Raw genomic sequence first — 15261 nt, 5'->3', positions numbered from 1 at the left:
TCAAGTTCCAAGGAAAGAAACATGTCCTGATATTCCCTCTAATTGAATTCATTGTAAGGATGCACAAGAAGTAAAAGAAAAAAGCAGGTGGGAAGTAGGGAAGAAGAGGAATTGCAGTAGTTGTGATAAGGTTTGGCTGTTTGGTAGCCTGAGTGTGAGTCTAATTCTTGCAGTCTGGAAAATCTTACTAACAGAAATACAGACTTAATAACTATTTCCTTCTAGTTGATCTGTATTGCCAATAAAGTCAAATATAGTAATAGAGTAAGATCAAGCTCATAATGTTATTTTAATGAATAAATGAGAGGTGGTGGGGTGATCTTGATTGTTTCTCCCTGTTTTTACTCAGGTAGTGAATGGAAAACCCGTTATGAGACACAACTTGAATTAAATGATGAACTAGAAAAGCAAATTGTTTATCTCAAGGAGAAAGTGGAAAAAATCCATGGAAACTCTTCAGGTACAAAACCAATCATATGTACATTTTATAATTTGAGTTAAAACTGATAAAACATTAAGTGCTCATATTTGATTTATTGTAGATAGACTATCTTCTATTCGTGTCTATGAACGAATGCCAGTGGTGAGTAGAAATGTGATTAAACACAAAGAATAATTGAAGGAAATTATGTCTATTTTTTCCAGACGTATTTCAAAGAGAAGTTTGAAGACTAGCGCAAGGTCCAAATAAACTGTTTTGTTCAAGGGATCTGTTTGAAGGACAACAAATAATTTTTGAGTAGCTATAGGTGGAGCACTAAGTTGCCAGCTATATTCACAGGTGTCCTGAAGAGCAGAGCATGTATAGATATTGCTTTTTGAATCACCGCCAACCTTCAGAGAAAGATATAGACAAATACTGTGTTTTTGCTAATAATGAATTGAGGAGAAATAAGTCCTTTTGCACGCTTGTTACTTTCAACCCAGACATGCCTTTATTTCCATATCTTGGAAAGTCAGGAATTTTTCTAACTCGAAAAATTGTTTTCCCATGTGCTGTCATAGAGTTATATCGCCCTCTTGTGGCATTTAGAAATAGTTGCTAGGGCTATGTTAAGCTTAGTGCCTTTTCTTAATTGCAGGTAGAATTTTATTACTACCTACTGGATATAAAATATTCTGTCTACCTGCTTCTTGATAACTGAGGCTCAGTCCTAGCTCAACAGAGTGGGTATCACCACCCTTGTGGAGAGTAGCAACAAGTGCTGGTATGACTTAGTAAAATACCTTAGGGCATATCTAAGGAGCGTTTAATTGGTTTTCTAACTACTACCTGAGACTCTGGAACATATTCATGTTGGAAAAAATACATTTATTTTCCTTGATGTATTTGTGTTATTTTTGAAGAAAATGTGGTTCTCTAAGAGATTTAATAATTTAGATCCAGAGACAGAGAATTATATTTCTCCACAGTAAAGGACTGAAGAAATATTAGCACAACGAAGAGTGGGACCACAGACCAAGCAGAAAGGAAAGAGAATGAAAGTTCAGTATAAACAGAACTGGTCCTCTCTATTCTCTGGACAGGTGCTTTCATGAGTGTTTGGTACTCATGAATCCAAGAGGGGTGTGTCTGAGCAGCAGAGATTAGAAATCTAATCAAGGAGTCAGCGATAGAAGTGTCCAATTACTAAGCAAAAAGCATTGGGATCCAACAATCCTATATCCAGTCAAGAGACCCTCTTAGCTAAGGACAAAACTAAGTCTTATTCTTTGATATAAAGAATAATATTTGTGAAATTCAGACATATAATTGTGTAATGCAGACATATTTTTGGCTTCCTGTTAAATTGACAATTAGGGAAAAGGGCTTAAATTAGTTGCTTTTGTGGGATAGAGTATGAATTCAAATACCATCTGTAAATTTCCCGATTCTTTATCCTTGTTGTGGATTGTTTAGTGTTTAGGAGTAATCTGTACAGACATACTTATGAAATTGATGTGTTAGTTTGAATACTAATTTTGAATAATTTCAAACTACAGATTTGCTTATGAGTAGCAAAAGGATGGGCACTCGTTGTTGACTAGTATATGTGTAATATTTTATATGTTATTTGACAAAAATGTATAAAATGTTATCTTTAAACTATATCATTAAAGTGGACTTCATTTTAATATAATTTTATCTCTCTTTTATTGTGGTAAATATACATAACTTAAAATTTACCATTCAGCATTTCTTTTTTTTTTGAGGGAGGGTCTCACTCTGTCACCCAGGCTGGAGTGTAGTGGTTCAATCTTGGCTCACTACAGCCTTTGCCTGCTGAGCTCAAGCAGTCCTCTCACCTCAGCCTCCTGAATAGCTGGGACTACAGGCTCATGCCACCATGCCTGGCTAATTATTGTATTTTTAGTAGAGACGAGGTTTCACCGTGTGTCCCAGGCTGGTCTCGAACTCCTGAGCTCAAGCAATCCACCTGCCTCGCCTCCCAAAGTGCTGGGATGACAGGTATAAGTCACCACACCCCGCCTGTTTCAGCCATTTTGAAATGTAAAGTTCAGTGTGATTTTAATATTTTAGAAAAAATTATTCACATAAGTGAGAGTGAAGCTTTAGTCTTTGTTCTGATAATAGGTTGGTGCCTCCAACTTTTTTTTTTCTTGAGGTTCACTTTTCTCCTCTGAAGGTAAGATACGTTATATTATCTTCTAAGTGTCTTTCAGTGGGGTAATTTATTAAAATTTTATTTTAGCATGATGTATCAAGGGTTGCATTTGGCAGAATGTAAGAGAAAGGTTTAAACAAGTAAAGTTTTTTTTTTCTCTTTTCTTTTTTTTCCTCATGTGACAGAAAGTATGAGGTTTGCAGTCCAGGGGTGGTGCAGTGGCTGTATAATGCCTTCAGGAATCCAGGCTTCCCCTAAGTTTCTACTCTGCCATCCATTTGTGAGTGGCTTTTGTCCTCGTGTTTAAAGATGGCTGCTTCGCCTTCTCAGCTGCTTCACGTTATCATTCAAAAAAAGACATAGGTGAAGGAGAAATGGTAAAGGTGAAAGCCGGTCACGTCTACTCCCCTTCAAAGAGCTTTCTAAGATGCTGCACCCAGTAATTCCCCTTGACATTTCATTGGGAGTTAGAACTGTATCATATGGGCACCTTCGTGTGCATGACAGGCTAGGAAATATAGTGTTTTACTGAATATACAGGAAGAAGAGAAGAGTGGATTGTGAGCGTACAGTTGGCTGTATCTGCCACACACAAAGTCATTTAAAGTGAAGGCATTTCATTTTATGTATTCATTCAATTCATTCATACATATTCGTTCAACATGTATTCAGCTGATATTATTTGGAAAATAAAAGGTATAGAAAAAGAATATCATAAAATCAAACATATCCACTGTAGACAGTTCTGTTTTTAGTAATTTTTGTATGCATACATATTGATTAAAAAGAACAACCAAATAAATAAGTCAGCCAACAAACAAAGTGAAAAAGGATTACAGCTAGTTTTTATTGTTGTTTAAAATATAATTATAACCTTACCGCATGGACAGTTTTGAATCCTATGCTAATTGGGGTAATTAAGTCAATTATTTCATATGTTATGTTCTCTTCATGTGCATTTTTCAATGATATATTATGTTCCATTGTGTTGGAATGTGAATGTTCAATTACTTTTCCCTATAACTGGGTATTTTAGGTTGTTTCTGGTTTTAATTTTGAGTTGAAACCCACAGAGTGTATTATGGCAAACAACTCCATATTCTAGTATTTATAAATCTTCAGATCTTTGTCCCTTTTTGACTTTAAATGTTTTAATGAAAACAATTTATAGAGTTGAGATCCCTTTTATTCTCCTCCCTGTCTTCTTTTTGTTTCCTTTTTATAGGCAAGGACTACCATGAATTTGGTATATATTATTTCAGTTTATTTTTAATATCTCTCTACATGTTGTATGTATAAAAATGCATATAAAAAGTATCATACTGTGCATATCATTCTTTTACTCATTATTTAATTCCATTCATGTTAATAAAGATCTAGTAAATTTTATCAGTTGTATAGTATTTCATTATATGTGTATATCCTTAGTATATTTACGTACATCATGAATTACGTAAATTAGCCTATTTACGTACATCATGAATTTTTCAAAATCTCACTATGACAAGCATTGCCACAGTGAATATCTTTATATGTGTCTTTCAGTGCAAAGTGTTCCTCTAGGCTTAGCAAACTTTTCTGTAGATGGATAAATAGTAAATATTTTCAGCATTGCAGTTGTATGATCTCTGATCTTTGTTGTAGCTATTCAACCCTGCTGCTGTAGTATAAAGGGAGCCATAGACAACACCTAATTGGTGGGCTGTATTCTAAAAAATCTTGGTTTACAAAAACAGGCAGAAGCTGAATTTGATCTTTAGGTTATAGTTTGCCAGCCTCTGCTTTAAGGCAGTGATCCATAAACTTTGGTAGGTTATGGAATCACCTAGGGCACTTCATAAAAATACAAAGGCCAAGTCCTGTCCTTCAACCTACTTGCCACCTCTATATTTTTATTAACTCTTCAGGTAATTCTAATAAAAAAGTTTGAGAACCACTGCTTCAAGTATACATGTTCTTAGAAGTGGAATTTTAAAATCATAAGATAGGTAGATTTTCAAATTATTATAAAGTATTTCTGGGTCAGTCTGTCTAAAGACACCCCAGCTCTACAGTTAGTTCAGTATGTCTGGAATAAATAAGAGGGATGATGAGCGATGAAGCTGGAAATAATATGCAGGGGCTAAATAATAAAGGGTTTGGTATTCATGGTAGGGAGTGTGAATTTTTTTTGTATATGATAAGAAGCTATTGAAATATTTTATATAGAGGTTGAAAGATCCTCCCACCCCCACCCCAACCACCATGAAGAAAGGATTCCTCAGGGTGGGTTAGAATTGAATCAGAGAAACCAGCTAGGATGCTTTTGTCGTAGTCTAGGTAAGGGAAGGTGGGTTTTTTTTTAGCTTGGGCAGTATTATATGGGGATGGAGCAGAGGAGACAGATTAAAGATCTATTTAGGAATGAGGATTTCATGAATACTTAGATATTGGGTAAGACTGCAAGAGAATTTAATGACAATTGAGAGTTTTGGCTTGAATAACTTCATGGATTACAATGAACAGGATAATAGAAATTGAAATTAGGATGTTAGGAAATGGTAAGTTTAGTTTTGTTTGTGTGTATTACACAGGTGATAGTGGTTTGGAAGCAACTGAAAATAGTTTTGGATTATGGAAAGTTGCTTCTCTGAAAACAGAGATCACCAAGTCATAAGTGTCACATGCAGTCATGAAACTACAAGGGATTGCTCAGGAAAAATATGCAGTCTGAAAAATAGAATTGAGGTTGAAACCCTGGGGAATGCTGACATTTAAAGTGTTAGGAGGCAATTTAGGGAATATTATTGAGAAGGAAAAATATTGAGAAAGGATGGGGGGACAACTGGAAGAATGGTATCACAGAAGTCAAGAAGGGGAAGGCTTTATGAATGTTCAGGAAAAGAATGTTCTAGAAAATTCTGCTGTAGGAGAGGATAAAACACGTTGTCCAGAGTTCAGGCAAATTATTCAAAAGCGAAGAAAGAAGTGCCAATTAGAGGCTAGGACATAGGAGAAAATGTGATGTGGTGTGTAGTGGAAGAGTAGGGGTGAGAAAATGTACTGAGTATAACCTATTTTCCCTCGAAACGTAGGTTTTGGAATCAGACCATCATGGCTCAAATTCAGACTATGGGACACTGAGGAAGTTATTTCATCTCTCTGAGGCTTAATTTCCTCATCTGTGAAATTGAGTTAATTAAACTCTCATGCAGGGTTACTGTGAAGATTATTAGAGATAGATAAAACAAATAACATAGTGCCTGACATAGTAAGCTCTGTTAGTTCCTGTTCTGTTTTCCCTTGATAAAGGAAAAGTACTATTTTATTAAAACAAGTCTGTTGTGAAATTAACCCCAATCAACTTGGAAGGGATAAGCATAAGGCCCAAAGATGTGCAATCTGTTTTCACTTATTAAGCTGTGCTGTTATATAAGTTGTGAATCTTCTGAATCTTTTGGTACCTTCTCAAAACTATAATAGAATTCATTAGATATTTAACATCTTTTTTTTTTTTTTTTTGAGACGGAGTCTTGCTCTGTTGCCCAGGCTGGAGTGCAATGGCACGATCTCGGGTCACTGCAACGTCAGCTTCCCGGGTTCAAGCGATTCTCCTGCCTCAGCCTCCCGAGTAGCTGGGATTACAGGTGCCTGCCACCACGCTCAGCCAATTTTTGTATTTTTAGTGGAGATGGGGTTTTGCCATGTTGGCCAGGCTGAACTCCTGACCTCAGGTGATCCGCCTGCCTCAGCCTCCCATTACAGGCGTGAGCCACCTCACCCAGCTGATATTTAACCCTCTTAATAAAAAGTGCAGAACCTTTACTTCCCTTGAGCTAGTTGGGTGTACATTTTCTAGTCTCTAACATGTGCATTCACCAAAACGGGACTTAGTGCCTACCTGAAATTCCTTCCAAGAATTTCCAGGTATGTTCAGCAAAGACCTGTAGCCATATTAATATATATTAAAGGTATATTCTTTTTTAATTTTAATGTTTAAGTTCTGGGGTACATGTGCAGGATGTGCAGGTTTGTTACATAGGTAAACATGTGCCATGGTGGTTTGCTGCACCTATCAACCCATCACCTAGGTATTAAGTCCAGCATGCATTAGCTATTTTTCCTAATGCTCTCCACTCCCCCACCCTACCCCCTGACAGGCCCCAGTGTGTGTTGTTCCCCTCTCTGTGTCCATGTGTTCTCAATGTTCAGGCCCCACTTATAAGTGAGAACATGGGGTGTTTGGTTTTCTGTTCCTGCATTAGTTTACTGAGGGAAATGGCTTTCAGCTCCATCCATATCCCTGCAAAGGATATGATCTCTTTCCTTTTTGTGGCTGCATATTATTCCATGGTGTATATGTACCACATTTCCTTTATCCAATCTATCATTGATGGGCATTTGGGTTGATTCCATGTCTTTGCTATTGTGAATAGTGCTGCTTAATGTATACTTTTATATACATTATGTATGTATACTAATGTATATTAAAAGTATACGTTCTGAGGATTTCCCCAGAAATTTGGTAGGTCTGGAGTAAGGCCTGGACATTTGTATTTTTTTGGCAGACCTCACAATAGGCTCTATTACAGAGCACAACTTAAGATCAACAGATATAGGGGATGTATATCCCTCAGAGAAAGATGTGGAATACAGCCTTGCTTGTGATAAGTTACTGTAATGGCTCTTATCAACAAGCCCCACCATATCCCTGTAGTCAATTGTATTGCAAAGTGGAAGTCCTATTCCTTGACTCATTCAGAGTCATAAAAGTGATGACCCCTATTTTTCTCTTTCTCTAGTTTTCCTATCAGTACCCTCCCCCTTGTCCTCCACTACACCCAGGCAGCTTGGATCCTTCAGGGAAATCTCTCACCAGTGCATATGCTTAGTCAGTCAGATGGATCCTGTTCCTAAAGCTAACAAGACTAGCTGGTGGTGAAAAGAATGGGGGAGAAGGTGTAGAAACAGAGAAACATTATTTAGGAAAATACTTAATCTCATCTCAAACATTCTCTGGAAGACTCTTGATCAATTTGTAGAAAACCAATTCACAGGAAGCCAATTTGCCGAAATCCAAATCCTTGAATATGTTCTAATGAATATAATTTTATTTAGTAACATTTTAATAAATGTTTGTTGAAAACCCAAAACTTACGGAAATCATTTAGCATTTAGTATTATTATTGAAAATATTCTTAGAAAAAGAGTATATTTCAGGTTATAAGTTCACATATATGAATGATTTTCCTTAAAGCGAATTTTTAGTAAATTTGGAATCGTAGGTAGATTGGTCTCCCTGCAAATTAATCCTTTGATGAATTGGCTTTTTGAAATATTAATCTTTGCCTGTTTGTCTATATTCCCTTCAGACATATGTTTCAGCTTGCCATAGGACAAACAGGAGAAGAACATATTACAAAAGCAAGAGAAGCCTGAAGAAAGAGATGGTTTTAAGTCTTAGTTCTTTTAAACCATCGGGCCATTGTTTTTATCACACACCTGGCTCTTCAGAGAAGCAAGACTCTCCCCTCTATTATTCTCTGTTGTGGTCCATGTCATGTCCCACTCTCTGACTTCCAGTCTTATTACTCATTGACCTACTTATCTTTTCTTCATCCTGTTGCCCCACACCATTTTCCTGACTGTGATACTAATTTCTTTACCATGATTCAGATTCTTCTTTTAGCTGTGCTGCCTGATGGACATCCAGCCCTATTTGGGTCTTCCTGGGACCCATTACCTCACTGTACACCCAATTAGTCATGCTCCCACTGGGCTCACTGTGGTAGTTTATGCCTTTTGAAAATTCTTAGAAATGTTGTTTTTAATGCCTGATAACCAGTCATTAAAATTAGTGACACTAGAGCACTATTGACACGTGTAAGTATATATTTTTAAAGTATTGAGGTTATTAAAATGCTATAATCTCTGAGACTGCCTCCTGAGGTGTTCTGTGGACAGCCCTCACTGGGTTTGTGTTCTCTCCAAGATCAGAATGGTCAATTGATAGGTACATAGCTTCAAATCACAGACAGAAAAGTTAGTTTAAACAGATTTTATATGCAAATCTAGTAACAGTGCTGTCCACAAGGGGGCATTTGGTATTTAAGAATGTAGAAGGCTGTGTTCTTTCATTGTTGCAGTTGCCTATATTGAAAAGTACTATATATATAGGAGCTGTGCTTAACTACATTGTATTCTCCTGTTTTTTCTTTTGTAAGCGTTCAGTGGAGTGATTTTTTTTTTACTTTTTTTTTGTGTGTTTGTTAGCAATCATTGGTTTAAAAATAATATGCAGGCCGAGCGCGGTGGCTCACGCCTGTAATCCCAGCACTTTGGGAGGCCGAGGCGGGCGGATCACGAGGTCATAGATCGAGACCATCCTGGCTAACACGGTGAAACCCCGTCTCTACTAAAAATACAAAAAATTAGCCGGGCGTGATGGTGGGCGCCTGTAGTCCCAGCTGCTCGGGAGGCTGAGGCAGGAGAATGGTGTGAACCTGGCAGGCGGAGCCTGCAGTGAGCAGAGATCGCGCCACTGCACTCCAGCCTGGGCGACAGGGAGACTTTGTCTCAAAAAAAAAAAAAAAAAAAATGCAGCTAATGGAATTTTCTCTCTGCTTTGGATAGAGGTGAGGGACTTTTTTAAAAACCTAAGTATACTTTATTTCAGGTGTGTAAACAGTATCTTGAAATTTCTTATTCTTACCCTGTTGTTTCAATCTACTCTTGGAAAATGACCTTTAAAAAGCAAATTAAAACAAGATCGTAGGTGAAATATGTTATTGCTTGGAATGCTAAGAAGTTATTAGTGTCAGAAACAAAACAAAACAGCTCTTTTATGATAATAGAATTAGCTTTATGTATATGATTTTCGTTGTTGTTAATATCTAGTAGAATTTTCAGTTTAACTGTGGCGTTGCTTTGTCTTTCCAGGCTGCAGTTTTCTAGTATATTACCATTGATTTATATAATCAGATAAAAGCAGCTCCTTGGGAAGATCAAGAACATTAAGTTATGAACAGTCCAGTGAATTGGAAGTGATGGAATGAGAGAGTCTGTTCTTCTGTTTTAAAGATATCTAGTTCATTTTGGAGTCAGTAAAATAAGAGGGAACCTTAAAGTTATTGTAGTACAATTTTATACTTTTCAAGGATCTCTGGTATGTATATTTATAAGTGGATAATTACAAATATCTTCTTGTTAATGGTCCAGGTTACTTCATGATTGCTGTCGTTTTTGCAAAATCTATAATGTGTTTTTGTCGTCTCCCCAGGATAATTTATTTTTATGCTGGCCTTATTCCCATGAGATTGCCACAATGAAACATCCTAACTTCCTGAGTTATAGTATAATTTCAAAGCATAGTATGCCTAAAACACAACTCATAGGAAGCAGGTATAGAGAAGGAGAATGAAGTGGGTTATTCTGGGAATTCTGGGCCACACCAGCTGTAACTGTGTGTGGGGGCAATGCTGAGGCTAACTGCAGAAGAGAAAATACTTTGTGTCTCTCTGTTGAGCCTGGAGAGAATGAACACGCACAGAGCTGGGAGACAAAGTCATGTGTTAGAGGCTGGAGGAAGAAACCAAGGTGTTAAAGCTTAAAGATAATAGTGAAGAAAGAACGAAGGACAAGGCACGAAGACCACAACTGCTATGAAGCTGCTTCTTAATACATTTTCCACATGGTGCTTATAAAGCTTTAGAAATTAGTACATTACAAAAAAATTTTAAATAAAAACATTGATGGAATTTCTAACTCAAATACCAGGGTGGGTTGTTAGCAATCTCAAATGTGATCTATTTTAGAATTCACAGTTTTTGAGTATAAAATTATTATTTTTAAATCTTGTAGAATAGTAGAAATATTATTGAAGCGTAGTATTATTGTGCTTTAAAAAATGCAAATGTGCATAATTAGAATGTTCCCCATTTTAGTCAAAACATTTTTTGCTTGTGAAGCTAGTAAGTAAGGCAGTATGTGTGTGGGGCCTCAGGATATTTTTTTTATAACTATTACATCATTTGGTGTGTTCACTCTTACATGCTCCTATCTCACAAACCCATATTCTTCCCATGTATAAAACTCCTAAAGTACTCCCACCTGACAAAATCCAATAACAAATGTAAAATTGGAAAACTGTGGGTATAATTGGTGTAAGTAAAATCATAATTTTTTATCATAAATCACCAAAATAGGTGAAGTTGAGTTTGAATTGTGAAGAAAATGTTAAGAATAGGCACCCAGGGGCCTACTTTTACATTTGGATATGATATTTATTAGACAAGACATGATAGCTGATCATTGAAATTAATGGATAAGAAGAAATCTCAGCAGGTGAGTGATTTAAACAAATTTTGGAAGGCTCATAGCTGGAAGAATACAAATTGACTTGATAGAAGTTGAGGAAACAACAACAGAGTGCCTGCAGAGAAGAATATCAGTGAAAATAATGCATTCACTCTTCTGACCTGCTTAGTGCTTTAGAACTTGGCAGGTATGGAAGAAGGTGGGGGTGAGAAAGGAGCTGAAAACTGGGAGACAGTTGAAGATGAACACATGGAACAGTTGGTCACTGGGACCCCTCTGCCATCCCACGCAGCTGGGATACTCTCCTTCAGTTAGGAGTCTATTTTCTGGAGAAATTAAACTGCAATAGCTCTTGTACTTTGGAGTTTCAGACACAGAGACATGTGAGTGAGATAGAGGTCTAAGAATGATGGGATCAAATGAAAATATGCCGTTTGAATAATGGAACTCTCAGCTCTCTTCTCCTGCCCTACTCCATAAACCAGCAGCTAGGATTAAACCTTATGGGGTAGGAGATTGGAGGATTCTTCAGCAAAAAACCTGAAATGCCCTTTAGAAAAGTTAGTGTGTTGATTGGGAAGAAATAGGAAGAAAAAATGAGAGAAAAAATAATTTAAAAAAATAGAAAAGTTAGTGTGGTGACCCAACAATGAACCTCACAGACTTCCCAGGACAGGAAGGTTAATTGAGGACCCTAGGTGCTGGGCTTCAAAAAATTTTTACATGTGTTACTACTTTTGTATCAGGTTTATACTTCCTAAGGGCTATTCTCTGCCTATGATTAAGTGCAGTGGAGCTACTAAAGCAGACCCATTACTGCGAAACATGGGACTCCATTGTTAGCTGACTTCAACTTAAAGTTCCCTGATGTCTTTTTTCAAAAATTTTTTATTTCAATACATTTTGGGGTACAAATGGTTTTTTTTTTTTGTCACATGGATGAATTATACAGTGGTGAATTCTCAGATTTTAGTGCACCCATCACCCAAGTAGTGTACATTGTCCCTAATGTGTAGTTTTATTTTATTTTATTTATTTATTTATTTTTTTAGTTTTTTTTTTTTTTGAGACGGAGCCTCACTCTGTCACCCGGGCGCGAGTGCAGTGGTGCAATCTCGGCTCACTGCAACCTCCGCCTCCTGAGTTCAAGCGATTCTTCTGCCTCAGCCTCCTGAGTAGCTGGGATGACAGACATGCACTGCCACTCCAGGCTAATTTTTTTGTATTTTTAGTAGAGATAGGGTTTCACCATGTTGGTCAGGTTGGTCTCGAACTCCTGAACTCGTGATCCGCCCGCTTTGGCCTCCCAAAGTGCTGGGATTATAGGTATGAGCCACCATGCCCGGCCACTAATGTGTAGTTTTTTTATCCCTTCCTTCCCTCCCAGCCACCCCCTTCTGCATCTCTAAAGTTCATTATATCACTCTGTATGCTTCTGCATACTCAGTAAAGCTCCCACTTATAAGTCAGAACATACGGTGTTTGGTTTTCTACTCCTGTGTTACTTCACTTAGAATATTACCCTTCTATTCCATCCAAGTTACTGCAAAAGACATTATTTCATTCCTTTTAATGCCTGAGTAGTATTCCATGGTGTATATATAACCACATTTTCTTTATCTACTTGTTAGCTGAAGGGCACTTAGGTTGGTTCCACATCTTTGCAATTATGAATTGTGCTCCTATAAACATATGTGTGCAAGTGTCTTTTTTGTATAATGACTTCTTTTTCTTTGGGTAGATATCCAGCAGTGTGATTGCTGGATCACATGGTAGATCTACTTTTAGCTGTTTAAGGAATCTCCGTACTGTTTTCTATAGAGGTTGTACTAATTTACATTCCCATCAGCAGTGTATAAGCATTCCCTTTTCCCCACATCCATGCCAACATCTATTTTTTTTTGACTTTTTAATAGCCATTCTTGCAGAAGTAAGGTAGCATCTTTGTGGTTTTAGTTTACATTTCCCTGAGGATTAGTGATGTTGAGCATTTTTCCATGTTTGTTGGCCATTTGTATATCTTCATTTGAGAAATATCTATTCATGTCCTTTGCCCACTTTTTGATGAGATTGTTTATTTCTTGCTGATTTGTTTGAGTTCCTTGTAGATTCTAGATTCTTTATCAGATGTGTGGTTTGCAAATAATTCCTCCCGTTCTGTGGGTTGTGTGCTTGCTGTGATTATTATGTCTTTTGCTGTGCAGAAGCTTTTTAGTTTAATTAGGTCTTATGTATTTATTTTTGTTTTTGTTGCATTTGCTTTTTGCATCTTAGTCATGAATTCTTTGCCTAGGCCAATGTCTATGAGAATTTTTCCAACCTTGTCTTCTAGAATTTTTATACTTTCAGATCTTATATGTAAGTCTTTGATCCATCTTGAGTTGATTTTTATAGAAGGTAAGAGATAGGGATCCAGTTTTATTCTTCTACATGTGGATTGCTAGTTTTCCCTGCACCATTTATTAAAAAGAGGGTCCATTCCCTAAGTTATGTTTTTGTATGCTTTGTCGAAGATCAGCTGGCTGTAAGTATTTGGTTTTATTTCTGGGTTCTCTATTCTGTTCCATTAATCTATGTGCCTGTTTTTTATACCAGTACCATGCTGTTTTGGTAACTATATCCTTGTAGTATAATTTGAAGTCTGGTAATATGATGCCTCCAGAGTTGTTCTTTTTGATTAGGATTGCTTTGGCTATTTGGGCTCTTTTTTGGTTCAATATGAATTTTAGGATTTTTTTTTCTAATTCCGTGAAAAATGATGTTGGTATTTTGATGGGAATTGCATTGAATGTATGCATTGCTTTGGGCAATATGGTCCTTTTCACAATGATTATTCCAATTCATGAGCATGGGATGTTGTTTCCTTTTTTGTGTGTTTCATCGGTGATTTCTTTCAGCAGTGGTTTGTAGTTCTCCTTGTAGAGATCTTTCACCTGCTTTAAGTATATTCCTAGTTGTTGTTTTGTTTTTGCAGCTATTGTAAAAGAGATTGAGTTCTTGATTTGATTCTCAGCTTGGTCATTTTGTTGTGCAACAGTGCTACTGATTTGTGTACATTGATTTTGTAACCTGAGACTTTACTCAATTTGTTTATCAAATCTAGGAGTCTTTTGGGAGGAGTCTTTAGGATTTTCTAGGTATACGATCATGTCGTCTGAAAACAGCAATAGTTCGGATTCCTCTTTTCCAATTTGGATGCCCTTTATTTCTCTCTTGCCCGAATGCTCTGGCTAGGACTTCCAGAACTATATTCAATAGGAGTGGTGCATGTCGGCAGCCTTGTCTTGTTCCTGTTCTCAGGGAGAATGCTTTCAACTTCTCCCCGTTCAGTATGATGTTGGCTGTGGGTCTGTCATGTGTGGTTTTTATTATTTTGAAGTAAGTCCCTTCTATGTCTAGTTTGTTGAGAGTTTTTATCACAAAGTGATGCTGGATTTTGTCCAGTGCTTTTTCTGCATCTGTTGAGATGATCATGTGGTTTTTGTTTTTAATTCTGTTTTTTGTGATATATCACATTTATTAACTTGCATATATTAAATCATCCTTGCATCCCTGGAATGAATCCCACTTGATCAAGGTACCTTATCTTTTTGATGTGCTGTTGGATTCAGTTAGCTAGTATTTTGTTGAGGATTTCTGCCTCTATGTTCATCAGGGAAATTGGTCTGTAGTTTTCTTTTTTTGTTGTATCCTTTCCAGATATTAGTATCAGGGTGATACTGGCTTCATAGAATGATTTAGGGAGGATTCCCTCTTTCTCAGTCTTTTGAAATAGTTTCAGTAGGATTGATACCAATTCTTTGAATGCCTGGTAGAATTTAGCTGTGAATCCATCTGGTCCTGGGTGTTCTTATTGTTGTTGGCAACTTTTAAATTACTGATTCAATCTCATTGCTTATTATTGATCTGTTGAGGGTTTCCATTTCTTCCTGATTTAACCTAGGAGGGTTGTATGTTTCCAAGAACTTATCCATTTCCTCTAGGTTTTCTAGTTTCTGCACATAAAGGTATTCATAGCAGCCTCAAATGATTTTTTTTTTTTTATTTGAGTTGGAGTCTTGCTCTCTCACCCCGGCTGGAGTGCAGTGGCACAATCTCAGTTTACTGCAACCTCCACCTGATGGTTCAAGTGATTCTCCTGCCTCAGCCTCCCGAGTAGCTGGGATTATAGGCATTCACCACCACACCCAGCTAATTTTTGTATTTTTAGTAGAGATGGGGTTTCACCATACTGGCCGGGCTGATCTTGAACTCCTGACCTCAAATGATCTGCCCACTTCAGCCTCCCAAAGTGCTGGGATTACAGGCATGAGCCACCATGCCTGGCTTGAATGATCTTTTGTTATTTCTGTGGTGTTGG

General features: G+C 37.1%; 2 protein-coding genes across 8 annotated transcripts in view, besides 1 other annotated feature; both read left to right on the top strand.

The window, feature by feature from the left end:
* The window catches only part of CCDC169-SOHLH2 (CCDC169-SOHLH2 readthrough), a 129598-nt gene that overhangs the window by 13763 nt on the left and 100574 nt on the right, over positions 1 to 15261 (top strand). The window contains exon 2 of the mRNA NM_001198910.2: positions 350 to 460. Coding sequence (NP_001185839.1) covers positions 446 to 460 — 15 coding nt within the window. The 5' untranslated portion in view covers positions 350 to 445. The remainder of the gene's footprint in view (positions 1 to 349; positions 461 to 15261) is intronic.
* Positions 1 to 15261, top strand: part of CCDC169 (coiled-coil domain containing 169) — a 75811-nt gene that overhangs the window by 13763 nt on the left and 46787 nt on the right. For 4 of the 7 annotated variants that reach the window (NM_001144982.3, NM_001198908.2, NM_001144985.3 and 1 more), the window contains 2 exons: positions 350 to 460; positions 543 to 583. In NM_001144982.3, the coding sequence (NP_001138454.1) occupies positions 575 to 583 (9 nt within the window). In that variant the 5' untranslated portion in view covers positions 350 to 460; positions 543 to 574. The remainder of the gene's footprint in view (positions 1 to 349; positions 461 to 542; positions 584 to 15261) is intronic. The other 3 variants (NM_001144983.3, NM_001144986.3, NM_001144984.3) reach the window with 2 other exon arrangements.
* Positions 7266 to 7560: a silencer, noted in NCBI's record as "tiled region #14903; HepG2 Repressive non-DNase unmatched - State 24:Quies". NCBI's record gives its function as "represses a minimal TATA promoter and a strong SV40 promoter by Sharpr-MPRA in HepG2 cells {active_cell/tissue: HepG2}" and the evidence as "EXISTENCE:reporter gene assay evidence [ECO:0000049][PMID:27701403]".

This window comes from Homo sapiens, chromosome 13, assembly GCF_000001405.40.
Source record: "Homo sapiens chromosome 13, GRCh38.p14 Primary Assembly".
NCBI lineage: Eukaryota > Metazoa > Chordata > Mammalia > Primates > Hominidae > Homo > Homo sapiens.
This window is presented reverse-complemented; position numbering and strand designations above follow the sequence as displayed.